We start from the raw sequence: 26690 nt of genomic DNA on the forward strand, positions 1-26690 counted from the left end.
TCGCGCCCTGACGCCACCCGAGAGAGCTCGCGTGATTGGCTGCTCCCGTCCCCGTCCCCCACCTTCCCGGCGGTATTTTGAGGCGCAGGCAGGGTGCTGACCAGCGGACCATCTTCCATGGCCTCTGCCGCGCTGGAGCTGCTGCGGGGCTGTCCTGCCAGCTTGTGCTCCCGCCCCGAAGCGTCCTCCTCCACTGGCGACACACGCACTGAAGCCCGAGTCTTCCCGCTGGGTAGTTGTTTTGGTCTTGCACCCAAGGAGGGATTTCTTGCGCCTCTTGTTCCCTCAGTTATTTCATAAACCAGGACCGCAACTATACTGTCGTGTAGCGCGGCCACCCCACAGCGGTCCCTGACGTTAACCCTTGCCGTGACTGCTAGAAGACACTGGTGGAGTGTGAATTGATGACCAAGGCATGGCAGAGCCTCTCTCATCTTTATAATCAGTTCAGCGGCGGCCTCCACTACAGGGAACTCCCAGCCAGTCCCGAGGCCTAGGGACATCCAGGGAGAAACGTGGCGGTGGTAAAGGGCTTGCGCAGCTCCTGAAGATAAATAAGACTTTGGGTTGCTGTTGTTTTTGAGACAAGGGTCTCACTATGTTGTCCAGGCAGCACTCGAGCTCCTGGCCTCAAGCCATCTTTTCTGGCTTCAGCCTTCTGAGTAGCTGGGACTACAGGACCATGCCACCGAATCAGGCTTTAAGACTTTTTAATGACCCTTTCAAATTTCTGAGTCACTCCCAGCATTTTAGGAAGCCAAGTGAGAAGGCTAGCTTGAGGCCAGGAGTTCGAGACCAACCTGGGCAACAGATTCCTGAGTCACCATTGACAAGAAACTTTGAATGAAGTTGATGATACAAAATATTAACATCTTTTTTTTTTTACAACCATTAAAAATTTACCACAGGTGAAACTAAGTCTAACAGTTCATTGAGATTTCTTGCTGTACAGCAAATTTCAAATCTCATCAAACTGCAGTTTGTGATGCATTTCAATTAATAATGAAGCTCTAATTTGTAAAATACTTATGAACTCTTAGTTCTCCTGTGGCTAGCTTGGAGCCACGAAAAGGTCACATTAGCCACAAAAGAAAAGACATTAAGGGATTTTTGCAAGGAAGTGCTATCAGATTTCTTTTTTGTTTGTTTGTTTGTTTTTGAGACAGGGTCCCACTCTATCGCCCAGGCTGGAGTACAGTGGTACGATCTCAGCTCACTGAAACCTCCACCTCCCAGGTTCAAGCAATTCTCCTGCCTTAGCCTCCCGAGTAGCTGGGATTACAGGCACACACCACCATGCCCGGCTAATTTTTGTATTTTTAGTAGAGACGGGGGTTTCACCATGTTGGCCAGACTGGTCTCAAACTCCCGACCTTAGGTGATCCGCCCACTTTGGCCTCCCAAAGTGCTAGGATTACAGACATGAGCCACCACACCAGGCCCAGATTTCTTTTTTAAATCACACTGGCTGCTCTGTGGAGAATGGATTGGTAGCAGTGAAACTCAACTGAAGTGGATGGATATGATGTTTATTTTGGAAGTAAAATTGATGAGACTTAATTATAGGTTAGATATAAGGGGATGACAGGGAAAAAGACTCAAGAATGACCTCCGGGCCAGGTGTGGTGGCTCACACCTGCAGTCCCAGCACTTTGGAAGGCAGAGGTGGGAGGATCGCTTGTGCTCAGGAGTTCCAGGCAACAGTGAGCTCGATCAAACCACTGCACTCCAGCCTGGGTGCTGGATCGAGACCTCATCTCTTAAAAAAAAAAAAAAAAAGAAAGAAAGAAAGAAATGACTTCCAGGTTTCTGCCATTAGGAATTGGGTGGTTGGTTGTGTGCTAAGATGAGAAAGGCTGGGAGAGTGACCTGGTTTGGGAAGAAAAAAGTAAAGTTTTAATTTAGGGCATGTTATGATTGAGATGCCTGTGAGCCACATGAAGCTATTAAATGTGCAGTGAGATATATGAATCTGAAGACAGACTCACCAGACTATAAATGGTGTATTAGTTTCACATATGCTGTAACAAATTACCACAAAATTAGGGTCTTTAAAACAACACAAATTGGCCAGGCGCGGTGGCTCACGCCTGTAATCCTAGCACTTTGGGAGGCCGAGGCGGGCGGATCACAAGGTGAGGAGATCGAGACCATCCTGGCTAACATGGTGAAACCCCATCTCTACTAAAAATACAAAACATTAGCCGGGCGTGGTGGCGGGCGCCTGTAGTCCCAGCTACTCGGGAGGCTGAGGCAGGAGAATGGCGTGAACCTGGGAGGCGGAGCTTGCAGTGAGCCGAGATCGCACCACTGCACTCCAGCCTGGGCAACAGAGCGAGACTCTATCTCAAAAAAAAAAAAAAAAAAAAAAAAAAAAAAAACCCACAAATGTATTATCCTACAGTTTTGGACGTTAAGGATCCAAAATGGGTTTCAAGGGACCAAAATCAAGGTGTCAGTTGGGTTGCCTTCCTACTGGAGGCTGCCAGGGAGAATTCATTTTCTTCCCCCTTCCAGATTCTAGAGGCTGCCCACATTCCTTGGCACATGGCACCTCTGACTTCTGCCTCCCTTGCCACATCTTTTGTGACTCTACTGCCTTCCTCTCTCACTTAAAAAGACCCCGGTGATTACATTGGGTCCACTCAATAGTCCAAGATAATTTTCCCTCTCAAAGTCCTGGTCACATCTGCAAAGTCCCTCTTGCCAAGTAAGGAAACATGGTCACAGGTTCAGGGATTAAGATGTGGATATCTAGGCCAGGCACGGTGGCTCACTCCTGTAATCCCAGCACTTTGGGAGGCTGAGGTGGGCGGATCACGACGTCAGGAGATCGAGACCAGCCTGGCCAACATGGTGACACCCCGTCTCTACTAAAGCAAAATTAGCCGGGGATGGTGGCGCACGCCTGTAGTCCCGGCTACTTGGGAGGCCGAGGCAGGAGAATAAATGGAACCCAGGAGGCAGAGGTTGCAGTGAGCCGAGATCGTGCCACTGCACTCCAGCCTGGGCGACAGAGTGAGACTCCGTCTCAAAAAAAAAAAAAAAAAGATGTGGATATCTTTGGGGAGCTATTTATTCTGCCTACCACAAGAGGTATTGAAAGTCACTTGAAGTCAGGTCAGGCGTGGTGGCTCAAGCTTGTAATCCCAGCACTTTGGGAGGCCGAGGCGGGTGGATCACGAGGTCAGGAGATCAAGACCATCCTGGCGAACACTTGTGAAAACCCGTCTCTACTAAAAATACAAAAAAAATTAGCCGAGTGTGGTGGCAGGCGCCTGTAGTCCCAGCTACGCGGGAGGCTGAGGCAGGAGAATGGCGTGAACCCGGGAGGCGGAGCTTGCAGTGAGCGGAGATCGCGCCACTGCACTCCAGCCTGGGCAACAGAGCGAGACTCAATCTCAAAAAAAAAAAAAAAAGAAAGTCACTTGAAGTCAAGATGGGTATGTTGCTTTTAAAGTTACATAGTGTACCTCCAAATATGCAGAATAGAACGTTAAATTTTTCTTCCTGAAAGGTAAGAAAAATTAACTTCAAAAACAATTTAAAATCTGGGTGCTGATTACATAGGTGTGTTTAGTTTGTAAAAACTCAAATTATATACGTAATATATATGTACCTTTTATGTGTATTTTACTGTAATGTGTTTTAAAAATAATGCTTAATATAGCTAGAAAAATATAACTATAAATATAAATACCTTTAACGGTAGGGAATACATTTTGAGAATTGTATGCACTTTCTAAGCCACCTGCAAGTTTTGTGTTTGACCAACACTGAGAATTTTATATTTCCATAATCATTTAACCTTAAATGAAATAATCTTTTTAGAATTTTCTTCTCTGCTTTCTTGAGATCAAATTGCAGCAAGGACCCTTAGGAGGCATTTTCTCTTGGCTTTTTGAGATCACTTTCCTATGGGTAAATAATATTACATTTCTGGATTTCTGTTACTTTACTGTTTAACATTGTGAATTGACATACCAAAAATCGTCACTAGTTAAGTTTGGTTTGTATGATTTGGTTTCATTTGACTTTAGTCTGAGAACTCTACAAGTTGCAAAAAAATTACTTATGGCTTTGTAGTATAATAAAATCAGATTTTTCTAGAGATTACTCCATAAGCATAAATATAACTTCAAGCATTCAGGGCATAACTAGGCTATCAATGACTCCTAGGCTTTAAGAGATCCTCTAATCTAACCTTCTCATCAGAGTGGGAGACCTTCCTACAGCACCCCTGACAGATGCTTATCTGGCCACTTTGGGAACATTTCTTGTAACAGACTTGTCTTATTTTATTTGGTGATTTAATTATTTTAAAGTACTCTGCCTCTCTGTAAATTCTACCCGTGTATTTCGTAGCCTAAACATTTCTAAACTAAAATAGCCTAAACTATTCTAAACATTGTATCTATATTCATCAGTACTCATAACAACATTAAGATGTAAATTCTGTATATACCCCCTACTTTACAGACAAAAAGACCAAAATACAGAAGGCGAAGTTGCCTGAGGTTGCACAGCTGTTAAACAGAAGAGCCCAGCCCTTGATCCCACTTGCTTAGCTACTACCACCCAGTGTTTCCTCTCTATACTAACTAGAGCATTGCACTTTATAACAGAAACCTATCTCAAGGTTCATCTCAGCCATCACTTTTTTTTTTTTTTGAGACAGGGTTTCACTCTTGCCCAGGCTGGAGTGCAATGGCGTCATCTCGGCTCACTGCAACCTCTGCCTCCCGGGTTCAAGCAATTCTCCTGCCTCAGCCTCCCGAGGAGCTGGGATTACAGACATGTGTCACCGCGCCCGGCTAATTTTTGTATTTTTAGTAGAGATGGGGTTTCACCATGTTGGCCAGGCTGGTCTCAAAATTCTGACCTCAAATGATCTGCCCGCCTCGGCCAGGGCCCGGATTACAGGTATGAGCCACCGCGCCCGACCTACAGTCATCATTTTTTGGTTAAGTTGTTCCATTAGTTAAGAGTTCACATAACTCTTCTATTATCCAGCCCACATCTCTCTGAATGGCTCACATCAAGGTCTTAAGAGATTTTAAAAGACATCTTCTTTAAAATCAAGGTCTAATCTCTATGGCATTCTCCTGATGTATTAGTTTAGTGAGGCTTTCAAAAAAGAAAAGGACATTATTTGGCACAAATTTTTCCTAAAGTTTTTATTGAAGTGTTAATAAATACCTAAGCAGCACAGTTGAATTTCAAATTTTCATAAAGTAAAAACCGTCACTAAATGAAAGAGAGAAAATATCACCTGTGCCCATAGGCTGCCTCCTCAAGAGCTGCCTATTCATGACCCATGAAAAAACCTGGCACCAAGCCTGTGGCTAGCTAATAGTGACAATGGTAATTAGCTAATGTGCATGTTAAAGTAGCTCTCTGAAACATCTGGACTGGGGAATACGGAGAGGACTGGCCAGTTGGAAATGAAAGGAAAATGGGGCACCTTAAAAACATAGTCACAGATAGCTGTGAGAGGTAGCACAGGGAGGCCATAGGGAGAGAATCCAGGCCCTGACTTGACTTGAATCCTGAACAACTTTCTGATTTTAATCTACATGTATCCTTAAATCATCTTTTTATTTATTTATTTATTTTATTATGTTTTTTTTGGAGACAGAGTCTCACTCTGTCACCCAGGCTTGAGTGCAGTGGTGCTATCTTGGCTCACTGCAACCTCCACCTCCCAGGTTCAAGTAATTTTTGTGCCTCAGCTTCCCAAGTAATTGGGACTACAGGCAGGCACCACGATGCCCGGCTAAGTTTTTTTGTATTTTTTATAGAGATGGGGTTTCGTCATGTTGCCAGGATGGTCTCCAACTCCTGAGCTCAGGCAATCCGCCTGCCTTGGCCTACCAAAATGCTAGGATTACAGGCATGAGCCACCGTGCCTGGCCTAAATCCTCTTTTTAAAAAAGATGCCCTGTTCCTTGCATTCAGAAGATACTAACAGTAAAACTGTGAGCCAGGGAGAATCCCCAACCTTATTTCGATCCCCACTTCCAACCGATTGATGGTGGCTGCCTGGAGAACTGTGTCAAAAATGACTCTGGGGCTAGAGTTTACTGGAAAAGAGTATGTACTGTTGAGAGACAGGACTAGCTGGATTTCCTAGGCCGACTAAGAATCCCTAGGCCTAGTTAGGAAGGTGACCGCATCCACCTTTAAACATGGGGCTTGCAACTTAGCTCACACCCGACCAATCAGGTAGTAAAGAGAGCTCACTAAAATGCCAATCAGACAAAAACAGGAGGTAAAGAACTAACCAATCATCTATTGCCTGAGAGCACAGTGGGAGGGACAATGATCAGGATATAAAGCCAGGCATTCCAGCCGGCAACGGCTACCCTCTTTGGCTCCCCTCCCTTTGTATGGGAGCTGTGTTTTCACTCTATTAAATCTTGTAACTGCATACTCTTCTGGTCCGTGTTTGTACCGTGTTTGTTACCGCTCAAGCTAAGCTTTCGCTCGTTGTCCACCACTGCTGTTTGCCGCAGTCGCAGACCCGCCGCTGACTTCCACCCCTCCGGATCTGGCAGGGTGTCTGCTGTGCTCCTGATCCAGCGAGGCGCCCACTGCTGCTCCCGATCGGGCTGAAGGCTTGCCGTTGTTCCTGCACGGCAAGTGCCTGGGTTCGTCCTAATTGAGATGAACACTAGTCGCTGGGTTCTACGGTTCTCTTCCATGACCCACGTCTTCCAATAGAGCTATAACATTCACCGCATGGCCCAAGATTCCATTCCTTGGAATCCGTGGGGCCAAGAACCCCAGGTCAGAGAACGAGAGGCTTGCTGCCATCTTGGAAGCAACCCGCCACCATGTTGGGAGCTCTGGGAGCAAGGACCCCCGGTAACATTGTGATGTCTGCCATGTTGTTTTCTAGGGAGATGGAAGGGAGTCAAGGATGTTGCCATGTATGTGCCATCTCTGCCCTAAGCCAATATCATGAAGAAATCAACAAGAGGTGGAATAAACTGAGCAATTCATCACCATATTAAGCTGGATATTCCTGTTTAGTAAATATCTTTCCCTAGCTGGTAAGTATCTCACCCCATACTGTATCTCAGCCACAACACTTTTAATTACCAGAGTCTCTAGGGCAGCGGTCCCCAGTCTTTTTGGCACCAGGGACTGGTTTCCTGGAAGACAGTTTTTCCATGGGAAGTGGGGGTGGGGATGGTTTCAGGATGAAACTGTTCTACCTGAGATCATCAGGCATTAAATTCTCATAAGGAGCGTTCAACCTAGGTCCCTAGCATGCGCCGTTCACAATAGGATTTGTGCTTCTATGAGAATCTGATGCCACCACTGTTCTGACAGGAGGAGGAATGTAGACGGTAATGCTTGCTTGCCTGCCATTTATCTCCTATTATGCGGCCCAGTTATTTTTTTATTTTATTTTATTTTTTTGAGACGGAGTCTCACTCTGTCACCCAGGCTGGAGTGCAGTGGCGCAATCTTGGCTTCTTGGCTCACTGTAAGCTCCACCTCCCGAGTTCAAGTGATTCTCCTGCCTCAGCCTCCCGAGTAGCTGGGATTACAGGCATGCGGTCTGGCTAATTTTTGTATTTTTAGTAGAGACGGGGTTTCATCATGTTGGCCAGGCTGGTCGAGAACTCCTGACCTCAAGTGATCCACCCACCTCAGCCTCCCAAAGTGTTGCGATTACAGGCATAAGCCACCGCGCCCGACCTGGCCTGCGGCCCAGTTCTTAACAAGACACTGGCCAGTACCAGTCCATGGCCCAGGGGTTGGGGACCCCCTACTCTAGAGTATACAGAGGTAAAACACACCTTACAAACCAGATATCACTGCATACGCCAGATTGTTTATAGCCTCCCCAGAAAAGAAAATTGCTCCTGTTGCAGAATAGCCTTATGAGGCTACACTACATGGGGAAAGCAATTCTTTTCTCCCAGGAAAAGCATGTAAGGATTAAGATTATATTGGCTGAGGCCAGGAGTAGTGGCTCATGCCTGTAATCCCAGCAGTTTGGGAGGCCGAGGCAGGTGGATCACCTGAGGTCAGGACTTTGAGACCAGCCTGGTCAACACGGTGAAATCCCGTCTCTACTAAAAATACAAAAATTAGGCTGGGTGCGGTGGCTCACGCCTGTAATCCCAGCACTTTGGGAGGCCGAGGCAGGCGGATCACAAGGTCAGGAGATCGAGACCATCCTGGCTAACACAGTGAAACCCCGTCTCTACTAAAAGTACAAAAAATTAGCCGGGCGTGGTGGCGGGCGCCTGTAGTCCCAGCTACTCGGGAGGCTGAGGCAGGAGAATGGGGTGAACCCGGGAGGCGGAGCTTGCAGTGAGCCGAGATGGCGCCAGCCTGGGTGACAAAGTAAGACTCCGTCTCAAAAAAAAAAAATACAAAAATTAACCGGGTGGTGGCCCCCGCCTGTAATCTCAGCTACTCGGGAGGCTGAGGCAGGATAATTGCTTGAACCTGGGAGGCGAAGGTTACACTGAGCCGAGATCGTGCCACTGCATTGCAGCCTGGGCAACAGAGTGAGACTCAGTCTCAAAAAAAGAGATTATATTGGCTGAAAATAATTCAGCAATATCCTAAACTGTATCAGCTTAAGCTTTGCAAGAGCATAACATTGAAAGATACTTACAAATGTACTGATTAAGATACTTATAACTGGAAGATAATCTTTTTGAAATTTATATTTCAGGACCATTTAATCACTATTTGTAGCCCCAATTACGAATCAGTTTATCATGCCGACCAGTCAGCTTTTTAGAGCACCTGTGGTGGTGAGCCATCCCTATGCTCCTTTGCCAATCATAGAAGAAAGGTACAAATTAACATAATGACTTTGTTTTTGTGAAATATTGCCTTTTCTCAGGATTTTAAAATATATTTTTTGGCTGAGTGCGGTGGCTCATGCCTGTAATCCCAACACTTTGGGAGGCCGAGGCAGGTGGATCACCTGAGGTCAGGAGTTTGAGACCAGCCTGGCCAACATGGTGAAACCCCATCTCTACTAAAATACGAAAATTAGTCAGGCGTGGTGGCAGGTGCCTGTAATCCTAGCTACTCGGGAAGCTTATGCATGAGAATCGCTTGAATGCAGGAGGCAGAGGTTGCAGTGAGCTGAGATCACACCACTGCACTCCAGCCTGGGTGACAGAGTGAGACTGTCTCAAACAAACAAACAAACAAACAAAATATATATATATATGAACATTACATATATATATTTTTCTTTATGGGCTATGAAAGTATCATACTGTAGCTTTGTGCAGTGGCAGTATCGTAGCCAATGAGGTTTATCCAAGGTGCGATTATTGCTAATTGAAAGTATCATACTGTAAACCAGGCTGAGTGCAGTGGCTCATGCCTGTCTTCCCAACACTTTTGTGATCATTTGAGTCTAGGAGTTCGAGACCAGCCTAGGCAACATGGCAAGACCCTGTCTCTACAAAAAATATTTAAAAAATTTAGCTGGGCATGGTGGTGCTTGCCTGTAGTCCCAGCTACCCAGGAAGCTGAAGCGGGAGGATCGCCTGAGCCTGGGAGGTCCAGGCCGCAGTGAGTCATGATCACACCACTGCACTCCAGCCTGGGCAACAGAGTGAGACCCCATCTCAAAAAAAAAAGTATCATATTGTAAACCAATAAATTATTTCTTATCTGGCTGCTTGGGAAATGAAGTGAGTCAGAGAATGCTCAGTCATCCCTGACTAATAGAAATTCAGAAAGTTAAATTGGCACAGCCATTCCAGAAGAACTGGAAATGTGTTAAAAACTAGTTTGCCTTTAACTTTGACTCTCTTATAAAATGTTGGATCAACACAATTATGCTCTAAACTTCTCATTAAAAGTTATGTGGGAAGCTGGGTGTGGTGGTTCATACCTATAATCCTAGCACTTTAGGAGGCTGAGTCGGGTGGATTGCTTTAGCCCAGGAGTTCAAGACCAGCATGGGCAATATGGTGAAACCCAATGTCTACAAAAAATACAGAAAATTAGCTGGGTATCGTGGCATGCACCTGGAGTAACTAGCTACTCGGGAGGCTGAGGTGGGAGGATCACCTGAGCCTGGGAGGCTGAGGCTGCAGTGAGCCATGATCATGCCACTGCATCTCAGCCTGGGGGACAGAGTGAGACCCCCATCTCAAAAACAAACAAAGGTATGTGGGAAGTATGTTCTTCTGGACTTTAAAGGAACTAGCTAAGATCAACAGCACTGAATATCAGTAACACGCTTCTGGGGAAATTTTATTATTTCCCAACGTAAGCTAAGGAAACAGCCAAGGTACTGGTCCAGAACTCCTGGAACTGAAGAATAGCCCACAGGCCGGGCGTGGTGGCTCATACCTATTATCCCAGCACTTTGGGAGGCCAAAGTGGGTGGATTACCTGAGGTCAGGAGTTCAAGACCAGCCTGGCCAACATGGCGAAACCCTATCTCTACTAAAAATATAAAAATTAGCTGGGTGTGGTGCTGTGTGCCTGTAATCCCAGCTACTTGGGAGGCTGAGACAGGAGAATCGCTTGAACCTGGAAGTCGGAGGTTGCAGTGAGCCAAGTTCTTGCCACTGCACTCCAGCCTGGGCAACAGAGCGAGACTCCGTCTCAAAAAAAAAAAAAAAAGCCTAAGCATGAACATAAGGCCTCAACCTCTCTCTCTCCTCATGTTTTTCATGCCCCTACTCTGGAATGAATATAATTCTACCTTTCAAATTATTTGTTTTTTGTCCCTACTCCTCCTCTTGCCCCTTAACATGAACACTCTCTTATGATTAGCTCCTGCCCCTGCCCCTCTGCGTACTCATTCTTTCAGAAATTGGCTCACTCTCAAGCCTTCCATTATCACTTCCATGTAGGTAATTCCTAGGATACATACTCCAGCCTGGCCTTTCTTCCCAGCTTGAGGCCCCTATGTTCAATTGCCTACTAGATAGTTCCTCACTTCAAACTCAATATATGAAAGTTCATTTTATCCTGTTGACTTTGCTATTTCTTTTAATGGTACTAACTTGACACTTTCATTCAGACTCAAAATCATGGAGTCATATTTTAATCTTCGCTCTCTCTGACTTTAACATTCAATCTTTCAAATAATTCAAAATGTTATCTCAGTTTATGTTGTTGGGTTTTCTTTCTTCTTTCTTTTTTTTTTTTTTTGAGACGGAGTCTCGCTCTGTCGCCCAGGCTGGAGTGCAGTGGTGTGATCTTAGCTCACTGCAACCTCTGCTTCCCAGGTTCAAGCGATTCTCCTGCCTCAGCTTCCTGAGTATCTGGGATTACAGGCGCCCACCACCACACCCAGCTAATTTTTGTATTTTTAGTAGAGACGGGGTTTCACCATATTGGCCAGGCTGGTCTTGAACTCCTGACCTCAGGTGATCCGCCCATCTTGGCCTCCCAAAGTGTTGGGATTACAGGCGTGAGCCACCGCGCCCGGCCGGTTGTTGGGTTTTCTTAGAGACAGGGTCTTGCTCTCTAGCCCAGCTTGTAGTGCAGTGGTATGGTTGTGGCTCACTGCAGCCTCAAAATCCTGGGCTCAAGCGATCCTGTGACCCCAGCATCCCAAGTAGCTGGGACTTAAAGCACATGCCACCATGCCTAGCTAATTTATCAAAACTTTTGTAGAGACAGGGTTTTGCTTTGTTGCCCAGGCTGGTATCGAACTCCTGGCCTCAAGTGATCCTCCTGCCTCTGCCTTCCAAAGTGTTGGTATTACAGACATAAGCCACTGCACCTGGCCTTAGTTCAGATCTTATCATCTTATTTCCTTAATTCTGAGATGCTTTTTTTAAATGATTTTATATACCTAAAATCAATATTTATAATCAATGTAAATATTTAATGTAGAGTTTTTTATTATACAAACTATTATATCAATAGTGTTTTAGAATCAAGAAAATCGGGCATCAAAGCCCACTATTAACCTGGGTGCAGTAGTGCATGCACGCCTGTAATCCCAGCTACTTGGGAGGCTGAGACAGGAGGATTTCTTTCTTTTTTTTTTTTTTTTTTTGAGACGGAGTCTCGCTCTTTCGCCCAGGCCGTACTGCAGTGGCACGATCTCGGCTCACTGCAAGCTCCGCCTCCTGGGTTCACACCATTCTCCTACCTCAGCCTCCCGAGTAGCTGGGACTGCAGGCGCCCGCCACCGCGCCCGGCTAATGTTTTGTATTTTTAGTAGAGACGGGGTTTCACCATGTTAGCCAGGATGGTCTCGATCTCCTGACCTCGTGATCCGCCCACCTCAGCCTCCCAAAGTGCTGGGATTACAGGCGTGAGCCACCACGCCCGGCCTGACAGGAGGATTTCTTGAGCCCAGGAGTTTGAGTCCAGCCTGGGCAACATTGTAAGGCCCCATCTCTTAATAATAAAATAAATAAGTGGAATTAACAAAGACCTGGATTACTCTATTTCTTCTTGTCCTTCCTGCCTGCATTCCCTCGCTCCTTTCATCTATCTTGCACATTATTGCCTGATTAAATCTTCTTAAAAGGCTGCTTTCATCTCGTTAAGACTTTAAGAAAAACTTCAGTGGTCCCCCATTCCCTGCTAGATAAAGTATGCCTAGGGGAACAAGTTTGTCATTTAAGGTCCTCCACAATTTAAGGGTCCTGACCTTTTGCTGATCTTACCAACATTATTCCCCTCCCGGATCCTTCTGCCCCAAAGAGTTCTTTCTCTACCTTTGTATCATTCCTCAAAGTTAGAAGGCTCTTCCTTGTCTGCTGCTTACACCCAATCAGGTTTCAAACGCCATCTCTATTGTGAAACCTAATATGAACACCCTATCCCAAAATAATCTGTTCCTTCTCTGAATTCCCGGAGCACTTGTCTTTACTCATCTCAAACTTTTTGTTTCATTTTGTTTTGAGACCGAGTCTCGCTCTGTTGCCCAGGCTGGAGTGCAGTGGCACGATCTCAGCTCACTGAAACCTCCACCTCCCGGGTTCAAGCGATTCTCCTGCCTCAGCCTCCCAAGTAGCTGGGACTACAGGCGCCTGCCATCACACCTGGCTAATTTCTGTATTTTTACTAGAGACGGGGTTTCACCATGTTGTCTAGGCTAGTCTCGAACTCCTGACCTCAGGTGATCTGCCTGCCTCGGCCTCCCAAAGTGCTGGGATTACAGGCGTGAGCCACCATGCCTGACCTCAAACTTATTATTAGTTATACTTATGATGAATTACCTGGTATCTTTGAATGTATATGTTTGTGACTGTAATATTAGACATCTGATGTATTATAAGGAACCCGAGAAAAATCAGTCATATTAGTCACCTCACTATATATGACCTACGTTTTTAAAATCAGATCATAAATTCCTTGAAGTTAGCCCTGTTTGGTATGCTTGTCTCCCTCATAGTTCCTTGAATCATACCTTAGGTGAGAAACACAGTCAATAAACATTCAGTCAAAGGAGGATCACATCTTCTACCAAAGATTCCTAGCCATCCTTGTTCTTTTCTCTCTGGCTAGGCCAAATTGCTTCTACTCAACTGCCTGCACCGGTCATCCTCCACCATCTAGGCTCACGATCGTAGTAACACAACACTCTTGCTCAATCTTTATAATAAGTCAAGCATAAAACAGCATGGTGAATTTAAAAACAAGGTGGGAAATTTGGCGGTCTTATGAGATAGATGTGTGGAGGCAGAAAGTAACTGGGAGATGCAGACAAGATGTGAGCAAGGTCAGTTCAGCAAGGGCCTTGCATGATGTTATGCTAAGGAGGTTAGACTTTCCCTCACTATAATCGGGAGAGTTTTTAATTAGGGAAATGGCATGATCAGATTTGCTTAATTAGAGCTACAGAAGATGGCTGGGTGTGGTGGCTCAAGCCTGTAATCCCAGCACTTTGGGAGGCCGAGGCAGGTGGATCACAAGTTCAGGAGATCGAGACCATCCTGGCTAACACAGTGAAACCCTGTCTCTACTAAAAATACAAAAAATTATCTGGGCGTGGTGGCGGGCCCCTGTAGTCCCAGCTACTAGGGAGGCTGAGGCAGGAGAATGGTGTGAACCCGGGAGGCGGAGCTTGCAGTGAGCCAAGATCGCGCCATTGCACTCCAGCCTGGGCGACAGAGCGAGACTCCGCCTCAAAAAAAAAAAAAAAAAAAAAAAAAGAACTACAGAAGATGGATTGGGAAGAGGAGGAAGGACTGGAAGAAGGGAAACCAGTTAGGAATAATATTTCAGGACCTCAACTAAAGTGGTAATAATGGAAATAGAGAATGAGAGGATTGGAATCATAAGAATGTGGAGAAGGGGCCGGGCCCAGTGGCTCACATCTGTAAGCCCAGCACTTTGGGAGGCCAAGGCGGGTAGATCACCTGAGGTCAGGAGTTCAAGACCAGCCTGGCCAACGTGGTGGTGAAACCTCATCTAGTAAAAATACAAAAAAAAAAAAAAAAAAAAAGCTGGGCATGGTGGCGTGCGCCTGTAGTCCCAGCTACTCAGGAGGCTGAGGCAGGAGAATTGCTTGAGTGCAGGAGGTGGAGGTTGCAGTGAGCCAAGATTGCACCACTGCACTTAGAGAAGCAGGTTTGGAGATGGGCTGGAGTAGGTGAGAAGATAATGAGCTTTAATTTTGGATATGTTGAATTTGTAGCACCTACAGAACATTTCCATGAGATTGAGGATCTGGAGGAAGATATACATTGGAGACACAAATTTGTGCTAGACATTATGCACTCCATAAATTTTTTTTTTTTTTGAGACAATGTCTCACTCTGTGGCTCAGGCAGAGTGCAGTGGTGCGATCTCGGCTCACTGCAACCTCCGCCTCCTGGGTTCAAGCAATTCTTCTGCCTCAGCCTCCCAAATAGCTGGGACTACAGGCACCCGCCACCACACCCAGCTAATTTTTGTATTTTTAGTAGAGACGGGGTTTCGACATGTTGGCCAGGCTGGTCTCGAACTCCTGATCTCAGATGATCCACCCACCTCAGCCTCCCAAAGTGCTAGGATTACAGGCATGAGCCACTGCGCCTGGCCACACTCCATAAACTTTACGTGTTTTGAAATACACTGTTTACTCTTAGCCCAAAGCACCCAATGACATTTCTTACCCTACCTGTTTCACCAGATTTTTCTGCCCCTGACTCTGTTCTACTGTCACTCTTGGCCAATTTGGAACTCTTTTTTTTTTTTTTTGAGACAGAGTCTCACTCTGTTGCCCAGGCTGGAGTGCAATGGTGTGATTTCGGCTTAGGTTCAGGTGATTCTCCTGCCTCAGCCTCCCGAGTAGCTGGAATTACAGGCACCTGCCACCGCACCTGGCTAACTTTTGTAGTTTTGGTAGAGACAGCGTCTCACCATCTTGGCCAGGCTGGTCTTGAACTCCTGACGTCGATCCACCCGCCTCGGCCCCCCAAAGTGCTGGGATTACAGGTGTGAGCCATCGCGTCCGGCCAATTTGGAACTCTTTAATGGTATTTTTCACATAATAGCTGTCTAAATCTTAGACAACTGAATGACTGTTAGACATCACTAAATTTAATGGGGCATAAAATTCTGCGGAAACCCAGGTGCTTCGGTCTATGGTACTGTGTGTGTGTGTGTGTGTGTGTGTGTGTGTGTGTGTGTGTGTGTGTGACAGGGTCTTACTCTATCACCCAGGCTGGAGTGCAGTGGCAGGATCATGGCTCACTGCAGCCTCAACTTCCTAGGTTCAAGCTATCCTCTCCCCTCAGCCACCTGAGTAGCTAGGACTACAGGCATGTGCCACCATGTCCGGCTAATATTTGTAATTTTTTTAGAACTAGGGTCTCGCTATGTTGCCCAGGCTGATCTTGAACTCCTGGCCTCAAGCAATCCTCCTGCCTCAACCTACTGAAGTGCTGGGGTTAGAGATGTGAGCCATTGTGTCAGGCTCTTACACCTTTGTTAAATATTTAGCGGTGCTTTCCTGGCCACGTACCCTCTTTTTCCAACTGCCCATGTACCTAGTCTTCTCTGCCCTCTGGCTTCTCTTCTCTTAACCCCTTCTTTTTCACACTGTTGGTCACTGCCTTATTCTTGAGATATTTTACATCCTGGGCTTGCAAGACACCTGATTTCCTGCCTACTTCCAACTTCTCTGACTCATACTTTCTCAAACTCCTAAATAAAAGTATTTTCTAGAATTCTGTAGTCTTCCTTATATCTCATTTTAGTGTATCTCCAGCATGACTTCAACCACTTGCATGGTTTCACATTCTTTTTTTTTTTTTTTCTCTTGAGACGGAGTCTCGCTCTGTCGCCCAGGCTGGAGTGCCGTGGCGCGATCTCTGTTCACTGCAAGCTCCGCCTCCCGGGTTCACGCCATTCTCCTGCCTCAGCCTCCCGCGTAGCTGGGACTACAGGCACCCGCCATCATGCCCGGCTAATTTTTTTTGTATTTTTAGTAGAGACGGGGTTTCACTGTGTTAGCCAGGATGGTCTTGATCTCCTGACCTCGTGATCCGCCGGACTCGGCCTCCCAAAGTGCTGAGATTACAGGCGCGAGCCACCGCACCCGGCCGGTTTCACAATCATTTAAAATGATTCCTAGATGTGAATTTCTATCCCAGTCTTCTCAGTCCAAACCCAAATATTCAGCTACTTATAGGACATCTTTATTTGGATGTGTTCTACAAGCACTTCAAATCCGCTTGTCCAAAATTGAGCTTTCTTCTTCCTTATAAACCTGGGCTTTCTCTTCCGTCCTAATTCTCAGTGAATCGTATTATCACCTACTAGGATCTTAGGAGGCATTCTTGACCTCTGCACCTCCTTTCTGTCTCACATTCAGTGTGCCACAAAACCCTATCAGTTTTACATTTTAAAAGAGTATTTCCTGGAAGAGAGAACATGATGTGATTGAAGACAATAAAATGGGCATGAGAATAGCATACAGGGGAGACCAGCCTGACAGGAGAAAGGTTTTACTGAGGAATATTGGAAAAGATAATTGAATTATTAAGTGGCAGAGTAACTTGGAAGATAACTTAAAGGCCATATAGAGTATTTCAGAGCTTGTGTGGCCATAGAAACCACCAAACATTAGGCAAATGAATGAAATGATTATTTCAGGCCATATTTTTAAAGTCAGTTATACAAAAAAAATGGATGGAGAGATGAGTAGAACAACTATTACTTTCATAACTAGAAACAACCATTTCTAAGCAGATTTTATTGATGACACGAGGAAAAAAACTTACAAGTTCCAGCTAGAAGCTCAGAAAGTCTGACCTTGAATTTCAATTTAAGTGTGCTAATAAAAAATAAAAATAATAAATTCTCATTGAAGAAGGCAGATAGAAAGTATGCATTGGTGATACAGCTAGGAGTAAACTGTGTTGGCAATAATTGCAGGAATAATATCATCTGATTGAAAAGTTTTTATAAGGCCAGGTACAGGGGCTCAACGCCTGTAATCTCAGCACTTTGAAAGGCCAAGCCAGGAACATCACTTGAGCCCAGGAGTTCGAGATCAGCCTGGGCAGCGCAGCAAGACCTTGTCTCTACAAAAAATTTAAAAGTTTGCCGGGTATGGTAGTCTGTGTCTGTAGTCCTGACTACTTGGGAGGCTGAGGCAGGAGGATCCCTTGAGCCCAGGAGTTGAAAGCTGCAGTGAGCTATGATTATGCCACTACAATCCAGCCTGGGTGACAGAGCAAGATCCTGTCTTTAAACACACACACACACACACGTTTGTATAAGCCATTCCTTAACTATAGATGATCTTTAAATTGAATATATATTTTAATCACCTAATTGAACTGTGATGATGATTTCCTAAAACATTTGGATTTCCATATGCCTCAATGAAAAATTAGGTTTAATAAACTACACTATAGTATAGCACACTATATGTCGCATTTATATATTGATAAACATGATAATTTCCTTTTTATTTGACTTAGATACTAATTAACTTGGAGTAAATGCACCCACCCCAATCATGTGATCAGTCAATAGTTAAATAACTGAGGGAAAAGAAGTACAAATCAGGCAGCTCTACATGCCATGTTTCAAAAGGGAAGGAAACAAAATAGTTAAACTTTGCATGTTTTGGAAATAAACTGTATTTATGAAACAGAGATCTCAAAAAGTAAAAGGAACCCCACTTTATCTGATGAAAGTGCCAGGAATCTGGAGAAAAGAGTTCAATTTCAACTTTCAGTTTGGAGATGCAGAAAGACCCTGAATTTTGGCACAGTAACTGAGAAGCAAGTAGCAGCCACAGAATGACTAAACTGAGTTAGCAGTAAAAAAGTCTTTAAAAATGATGGATTTGATAGATTTAAAACCAAAGCTTTCCTCTTCCTCTTTGTAATTTTCCTTTTTCCCCCCTTTTTTTCTGATTGCAATTTCAATAATAAAGCTCTATTGAATTCCGAATTACTTACATGAGGTCCTTGAAAGCATGACTCCCTCTGCAGATAACCATAGGTTTCCATCCCGAAGCACGAGCTCTGTACCCTAGTGTGGTTTGAAATAATGAGCAGAGCAGCTGTTTTCTTGGTTTAGCTGCCACGGAGCAGTCACCAATAGGCATCTGAATTCCAGACTAAATCGTAAGCCCCACCTCTCTGAAAAGGAAGAAAAAAAATGTGGCTCTGAATTCTTCTCATATTCCTGGACAGTAGCTCGAAAGTAGGTGGTCAGTCAGCGTCTGAGTGTTACTTCCCTGTTTTGGATTTCCCATTCCATCCAATAATTTTACTTTCCACTAGAAAAAGTTTTCTTCTGAGTTTCTTAAAATCTACAAAAGTCTTTTTTGTAGTTCAAAAATCTACAAAAGTCTTTTTTCACATTGTTTTCACACATACGTAATTCTAATTCTAAACTTTTTTTTTCTATTCTTTTCTTTTTTTTTTTTTTTTTTTTTTTTTTTTTTTTGAGATGGAGTCTTGCTCGTGTCTTGCTTTTGGTGCTTAGGGACTCTCACAGCCAGATTGGTAGCAAGGGATACTGACCAATGATCTACTTATCAAACAACTCTCCATTTCACTGGTAAATGCTCATTTGACCACTGGAACAGCCTAGCCTTATCTACCACACAACTTCACATTCCACTCAAGAGAAACTATACTAAAAGGTATCCCCCACAGGCACAGAAATTCTTAGTTAACCATTGTATGTTTATAGATTTTGAAGTCAACCATGGTCTGAAGTCTATTTTATTTTATTTGAAAGAGACTGGGTCTCACTATGTTGCTCAGGCCCATCTCGAACTCCTGGGTTCAAGCAATCCTATCACCTCGGCCTCCCAAAGTGCTGGGAATACAGGTGTGAGCCACCATGCTAAAATAACTCATTTTTTTCTTATATTTTTCTTTATTTTTTTTTCTTCTTGAGACAGTGTCTTGCTCTTGTCGCCCAGGCTGGAGTGCAGTGGCACAATCTCAGCTCACTACAACCTTTGCCTCCAGGGTTCAAGCAATTCTCCAGCCTCAGCCTCCCGAGTAGCTGGGATTACAGGTGTGTGCCACCACGCCCAGCTAGTTTTTGTATTTTTTAGTAGAGACAGGGTTTTGCCATGTTGGCCAGGCTGGTCTTGAACTGTTGACCTCAGGTGATCCACCCGCCTTGGCCTCCCAGAGTGCTGGGATTACAGGCATGAGCCACCACTCCTGGCCCTTATATTTTTCAAATATGTTAAAGGTATACATAACCCTCAACAACATTTTTTGTTAAATCTCTGCTCTTTGCTCTTTCTTCCCATCTGTTTCCTCACATCCAGTCTGCTCTTTTTTCTCTCTTAACTAAAAACTCTGTTAAAAAAAAAAAAAAAAGTTGTCTTCTCCGCTTCCTCCGTCTTTATAGAGAGGCAGGAGAGAACACTTCTAAGTGTGCCAGGGCAGGACCTTCTTTTTTCAGGCAGATAAAGGAGTGGATCCATGGATAGTATTTTTTAGAGGTGGGGTCTTGCTGTATTGTCCAGGCTAGACCTGGACTCAAGTGATCCTCCTGCCTCAGCCTCCCAAGTAGCTGGAACTAAAAGTGTGCACCACTTGGCCAGTTTTCATGGATGATTGTTATGCTTTTTCACTTCCTCTTGGTTAATCTTGACAGACATCCCCTCCTCCCAATAAAAATATCCAGGCATGGTGGCTCACACCTATAGTCCCAGCACTTTGGAAGGCCAAGGCAGGTGGATCACTTGAGGCCAGGAATTCAAGACCAGCCTGGGCAACATATTTAGATACCCATCTCTACAAAAAGAATTTTTTTTTAATTAGCTGGTCTTGGTGGCACATGCTTATAGTCCCAGCTGCTCAGGAGGCTGAACTGGGAGGACTGCTTTGAGTCCAGGAGTTTGAGGCTGCAATGAACTGTGATCTTGCCACTGCTCTGCAGCCTGGGCCACACGGCAAGACACTGTCTCAAGAAATAAATAAACAAAAATATCCAGTATTTAATATACTGTCCATAGACTGCCTATAGGACCTCACTTGAGAGCTTACAAATCAGCAATGGGAGAGAAAAAGCTGTCCAATAGAAAAAATTGGCAGAATAGCACTAGGGAACTCAAAAAAATATATGATCAAAAGTCTGACCTTACTACCATTTTTTAAAATTGTTTTTTGTTTTTATTTATTTATTTTTGTTTATTTTTTTGAGACAGAGTATCACTCTGTCACCCAGGCTGGAGTAGAGTGGCACGATCTCAGCTCACTGCAACCCCCGCCTCCCAGGTTCAAGTGATTCTCCAGCCTCAGCCTCCCAAGTAGCTGGGATCACAGGCATGCACCACCACCCCAGCTAATTTTCGTATTTTTAGTAGAGACAGGGTTTCGCCATGTTGGCCAGGCTGGTCTCGAACTCCTGACCTCAGGTGATCCTCCCACTTCAGCCTCCCAAAGTGCTGGGATTACAGGCATGAGCCACCTTGCTCAGCCTGTTTTTTGTTTTTTTAAGACAGAGTCTTGCTCTGTCGCCCAGGCTGGAGCGCAATGGCACGATCTCGGCTCAGCAACCTCCACCTCCCGGTTTCAAGTAATTCTCGTGCTTCAGCCTCCTGAGTAACCGGGATTAAAGGAGCCCACCATCACGCCTGGTTAATTTTTGTATTTTTTGTAGAGATGAGGTTTTGCCATGTTGCTCAGGCTCCTGGGCTCAAGCAATCTGCCCTCCTTGGCCTCCCAAAGGGCTGAGATTACAGGCATGAGCCACTGTGCCCAGCCTGCTCAGTGAAATATTATCCTCTTTTTAATAAATAAGATGTTCTTCATTGTGCTTTATGGGAGCACATATAATTAAAATTTTGTATTGTAAATTCAATATTAGGGCTGATTTTTTTTTTTTTAAACGGAGGTCTTACTCTGTCGCCCAGGCTGGAGGGCAGTGACGCGTTATCTTGGTTCATCGCAACCTCCACCTCCTGGGTTCAAGTGATTCTCCTGCCTCAGCCTCCTGAGTAGCTGGGACTACAGGCACATGCCACCGTGCCCAGCTAATTTTTGTATTTTTAGTAGAGATGGAGTTTCACCATGTTGGCCAGGCTGGTCTTAAACTCCTGACCTCAAGTGATGCGCCTGCCTCAACCTCCCAAAGTGCTGGGATTAGAGGCGTGAGCCACCATGCCCAGAGACATTTTTATTTTTATTTAATTAATTAGCTTATTTTAAAATACAAAGATGAAGTCTCACTGTGTTGCCCAGGTTGGTCTCAAACTCCTGGGCTCAAGTGATCCTCCTGCCCTGACCTCCCAAAGAGCTGGGATTACAGGCGTGAGCTGCCATGCCCAGCCTGAGCTGTTATTTTTATTCTGTCCATTTGATAATCTATTTGAAAGCTATACTCCTTGTGATCCAATCCCTACATTGAGTTGAAGTTAAATAAACACTGGTCTTGCTCTGAGTCTTAAAGAACCATGTTGATGTTTACTGTAGATGTTTACTTTAATTGGGCTGCACAGGAGTTTTATTCAGAGCATCATCCAGAAAGCTTCTAAACATCTTCACACAGTTCTCCTTGTCCCTGTAGTTTCCCAGGTGTTAAAAATCTCCTTTTCTGTCCCTTTGCACAGGGTTCTCACCCCATCCTGATGCTCTTCTGAATCACCTCCTCCTTCATGCTTCTCCTAAACAGAGACTCATTCTGCAGGGATTCTGGTGAATACAATTCTCCATTGAGCTACACATCCTTAGAACAAATGTTTAATGAGCACCTACTGTAGGCTCTGCCATGAATAATCTTTCACATTTGGTTAGGCTTTTTTCTGTCTACAGAATTACTTTCATGTCCATTATTTAGAATAGGGGTCATCAAATCTTTTCTATAGAGGGCCAGATATTTTTGCAGGCCATGTCTCTGTCACAACTTCTCTGCTCTGCCCTTGTGGTACAAAAGCAGCCATACACGATGTATAAAGGAATGGAGATGGCTGTGTGCCTTTGAGACTTTTTTTTACAAAAACAGATAGTGGCCTGGAATTGGCCGCTGAGCTATAGTCTGTCCACTCCTGACTTAGAACAACTCAGTGAAGTGGAAGTTACCTGTCCTATTTTATAGACCAGGAAAGGAATTGAGGCTCAGAGAAATTAAGTGGTTTGCCTAAAGTCACACAAACAAGTTACAAGTGGCTGACCCAGATCTCAAACATGGGTCAAAAAATGTGACTGCAAAGTCACTGCTATTTTAACCACACCATACCGTCTGTCACTCATTCAGATAGCTTGTGTCAAGAGTGACAAGCTTCTTAACCTACGTGCCACATGTTTGAGGAAGAGTTAGGTAAATTTTGATGCATCCACAAATCGCTATGCAGTTAGTCAACATGATATTTACAATGTGAAATCATGGAGAAATATGAAATGATGTGAATCAAAAGGCTAAGCACAAGATCGCATATAGAGTTGTGCTTGTGTAAAGGAAAAAAATACATAAAGGACTTAAGGGAAGTATCTTAGAATATTAACAGTTGTTGCCTCCTTGTAGATGCGAGACTGATTTTTCTGTGTGCTTATTTCTACTTTTTGTATTTTGCACTTTTTTTTGTTTTGTTTTTCTGAGACGGAGTCTCGCTCTGTTGCCAGGCTGGAGTGCAGTGGCGCAGTCTTGGCTCACTGTAACCTCTGCTTCTCAGGTTCAAGTGATTCTCCTGCCTCAGCCTCCTGAGTAGCTGGGACTACAGGTGCGCACCACCATGCCCTGTTAATTTTTGTATTTTTAGTAGAGTCAGGGTTTCACCATGTTAGCCAGGATGGTCTCGATCTCCTGACCTCGTGATCCACCCACCTTGGCCTCCCAAAGAGCTGGGATTACAGGCGTGAGCCACCACAAGCCCGGCCTTGCACACTTTTTTACAGTGTACATTATTACTTTGTGAGCCAGTAAATAATAAAACTTCGAAAGTGAATGCATCTTGAGGATGCTTACAATTTATTTTTTTTTTCCAGGATAAGATGGTTGGATTGGTCACTGGCTGGAACAGGAGAAATACATTTCACTTCAGATAAAGTAGAGAATACAGTTTTTAGCCAGGCAAAACCCTGATCTGTTTAAGACTAAGTTTCACAGAATGACAGAGGAAGTTGTGAAAAGCCTTGGTCTCTGGGCAGGCCTCATTTTTAGCCATGTTGCATGGTCCACCCCTAAGTGAACTACTTTAGAGTCCCCTCTTTCCTGAGAGAGCAAAAGAGGAGAGAAGTCTCCTTTGGAGAAGCAAAGACTCCTTCTCCAACTTGCAGCTTTTTTACCCCTGTGTTCTGCAATGATGGTAATATGAACAAACGTTAAATGTGTAGATACTGCAAGTATTATCCACAAGAACATCTAAAAATCATTTGCAATCCATCTTCTTCTAGAAGAGGTTAATGCCATTTATGAGGGTTGTAACGTGGAGAATTTTCTCATCACTGGGTTTCAGGCTGCAGATGTAGGGGTCAGATGGGCTAGTAATGAGCAGAATGCCTAGGCAATACGCTGATCTAATACCTGCCTCTTGGTCTTTCCTATTTGTTGAGCACACACGAGGGCAAGGACAAGGCCTGCCTGGTTGAACCGGAAAGGTACAACAGGCTACTTTTAGATCAGACTGTTTGGCACTTACGTAAACAGCAAAAGGAAGAGTGGCTCAAGGTGCCAGCTCCTATGGTCTTTGTCCCACTCACCAAAAGGACAACACCAAAACAAGAGGGGTCAGATAACTGCAAGGCAAGCCATGGGACGCCCTTTCGAGAAGCTCATTCTTAGCTGCAGCTAAGGGCTTTAGTATTCTGCAGCTCTATTCTGAGGGGGCCACAGCATAAAGCCCTAATCTCATCAGAACCTGGAAGGCATAAGAAATCATCTCAGCCTTCCAGGGAAGTAGGAACATGAATGGGAGATGGCATACATGCCACCATCCTCTCATGTTAAGGTATCTTTAAATAGAAATACACAGAAAACAAAGTTACGTATTGGTTGGTTGACAAAAATGACCAGAGGCTTTAGGAACCTAACCCTGTATTTCCCTTAAGAGTAATAATTCAGTATTCACTTATTCAGCATTCACAGCAACTTTATAGAACATAACTACCATGAAGAAAGAGAACTGGCTATATTATTATGAATACAGGAATGTAGTTTGGCCTTCACACACAGCCCCAAAAGGGCTCCAAGACTCTCCCTCCCTCCTCCGAGGTCCCCAGACCACACTTTGATAACTATTTCTGGTAGACTATAAACTGTGGCCAACTAGGGGTCAGCCATAGCTATTTTGTTCCTCTTCACATTTCCAGAGTCTTGCATAGTGCCAGGCATATATTGTGAGTTAAGTTAAAATGGGCTGGGGGTAAGATTTTTATGAGAAAGTTAAACCTGAGAGAGGAGAGACAGAGTGGTCTCTTTGGTGCTAAAGGTCAGTTCAGCCTTGATGTTGTTGTTGTCGTTGTTGTTTTTGAGACGGAGTCTCGCTTTGTCTCCCAGGCTGGAGTGCAGTGGCGCGATCTCGGCTCACTGCAAGCTCCGCCTCCTGGGTTCACGCCATTCTCCTGCCTCAGCCTCCCGAGTAGCTGGGACTACAGGCGCTTGCCACGCCCGGCTAATTTTTTGTATTTTTAGTAGAGATGGGGTTTCACCGTGTTCATCAGGATGGTCTCGATCTCCTGATCTCGTGATCCGCCCATCTCGGCCTCCCAAAGTGCTGGGATTACAGGCATGAGCCACTGCGCCCGGCCGTTTTTTTTTTTTTTTTTTTTTTCTTAATGACAGGGCTCACTCTGTTGCCGAGGCTGGAGTGCAGTGGCACAATCTCGGCTCACTGCAACCTCTGCCTTCAGGGCTCAAGCGAACCTCCCACCTCAGCCTCCTGAGTAGCTGGGAGTACAGGCATGAGTCACCACACCCAGCTAATTTTTTGTATTTTTTTAGAGATGGGGTCTCACTATGTTGCTCAGGCTGGTCTCAAACTCCTGGGCTCAAACAGTCCACCTGCCTTGACCTCCCAAAGTGCTAGGATTACAGGCATCCACCATTGCACCCAGCACAACATATATACCTTATTTATTTATTTATTTATTTATTTATTTATTTATTTTGAGACAGAGTTTCACCGTGTCACCCAGGCTGGAGTACAGTAGCGTGATCTCAGCTCACTGCAACCTCTGTCTCATGAGTTCAAGCGATTCTCCTGCCCCAGCCTCCTGAATAGCTGGGATTACAGGCCCCCGCTACCACTCCCGGCTAATTTTTGTATTTTTAGTAGAGACGGGGTTTCTCCATGTTGGCCAGGCTGGTCTCGAACTGTTGACCTCAGGTGATCCACCCTCCTCAGCCTCCCAAAGTGCTGGGATTATAGGCGTGAGCCACCATGCCCGCTGGAATTTTAAAATACTTTATTACGGCTCCATAGCTAATGGGTTAGAGCACTGGTCTTGTAAAATACTTTATTACTGAAAAATGCTAATGATCACCTGAGCCTTCAGTGAGTCATCTTTTTGCTGCTGGAGGGTCTTGCCTCAGTGTTGTGGCTGGTGACTGATCAGGGTGGTGGCTGCTGAAGATCAGGATGCCTGTGGCAATTTCCTGAAATAAAACAATGATGAAGTTTGCTACATCGATTGACTCTTTCACCAAAGATTTCTCTGTAGCATGAGATACTATTTGATAGCATTTACCCACAGTAGAACTTCCTTCAATACTGGAATCAATCCTATCAAACCATGCCACTGCTTTATGAACTGCGTTATGTAATATTCTAAATCCTCTGTTGTCATTTCAACAATGTCCACAGCGTCTTCATCAGGAGTAGAATCCACATCAAGAAAAGATGTTCTTGGCTCATTCAGAAGAAACAACACCTCCTTCATTCAAGTTTGATTGTGAGATGGCAGCAATTCAGTCACATCTTCAGGCTCCACTTCTAACTGTACTTCTCTTGCTGTGTCTACCACATCTGCAGTTACTTCCTCCACAGAAGTCTTGAGCCCCCTAAAGTCAACTATGAGCGTTGGAATCAACTTCTCCCAAATCCTGTTAATGTGGCTATTTTGACCTTCTCCTATGAATCATGAATGTTCTTAATGGCATCTAGAATGATTAATTCTTTCCAAAGTCTTTCAATTTACTTTGCCCAGATCCATTAGAGGAATCAAGATCAATGGCAGCTATGGCCCAACAAAATGTATTTCTTTCTTTTTTTTTTTTTTTTTTTTTGAGATGGAGTCTTGCTCTGTCACCCAGGCTGGAGTACAGTAGCGCAATCTTGGCTCACTGCAACCTCCACCTCCCAGGTT

General features: G+C 44.7%; 1 protein-coding gene, 1 long non-coding RNA gene and 1 pseudogene across 4 annotated transcripts in view, besides 1 other annotated feature; 2 read left to right on the forward strand and 1 right to left on the reverse strand.

The window, feature by feature from the left end:
* The window catches only part of GNE (glucosamine (UDP-N-acetyl)-2-epimerase/N-acetylmannosamine kinase), a 62538-nt gene extending 44079 nt beyond the window's left edge, over positions 1 to 18459 (reverse strand). For all 3 annotated transcript variants that reach the window (NM_001190388.2, XM_005251334.5, NM_001128227.3), the window contains exon 1: positions 18375 to 18459. Coding sequence is in view for 2 of the 3 variants with exons in the window: in XM_005251334.5 (XP_005251391.1) it covers positions 18375 to 18425 (51 nt within the window). In the remaining variant the exon portion in view is untranslated. The remainder of the gene's footprint in view (positions 1 to 18374) is intronic.
* Positions 91 to 26620, forward strand: LOC124902150 (uncharacterized). The gene is made up of 3 exons (XR_007061473.1): positions 91 to 232; positions 6902 to 7055; positions 26189 to 26620. It is a non-coding gene; the product is annotated as an uncharacterized LOC124902150 (long non-coding RNA).
* Positions 130 to 359: an enhancer, noted in NCBI's record as "active region_28349". NCBI's record gives its function as "activates an Ori minimal core promoter by ATAC-STARR-seq in GM12878 lymphoblastoid cells {active_cell/tissue: GM12878}" and the evidence as "EXISTENCE:reporter gene assay evidence [ECO:0000049][PMID:35858748]".
* RNU4-53P (RNA, U4 small nuclear 53, pseudogene) lies at positions 9264 to 9403 on the forward strand (annotated as a pseudogene).
* Positions 26621 to 26690: the final 70 nt, after the last annotated feature.

The sequence above is a fragment of the Homo sapiens genome, chromosome 9 (genome assembly GCF_000001405.40).
Source record: "Homo sapiens chromosome 9, GRCh38.p14 Primary Assembly".
Classification (NCBI taxonomy): domain Eukaryota; kingdom Metazoa; phylum Chordata; class Mammalia; order Primates; family Hominidae; genus Homo; species Homo sapiens.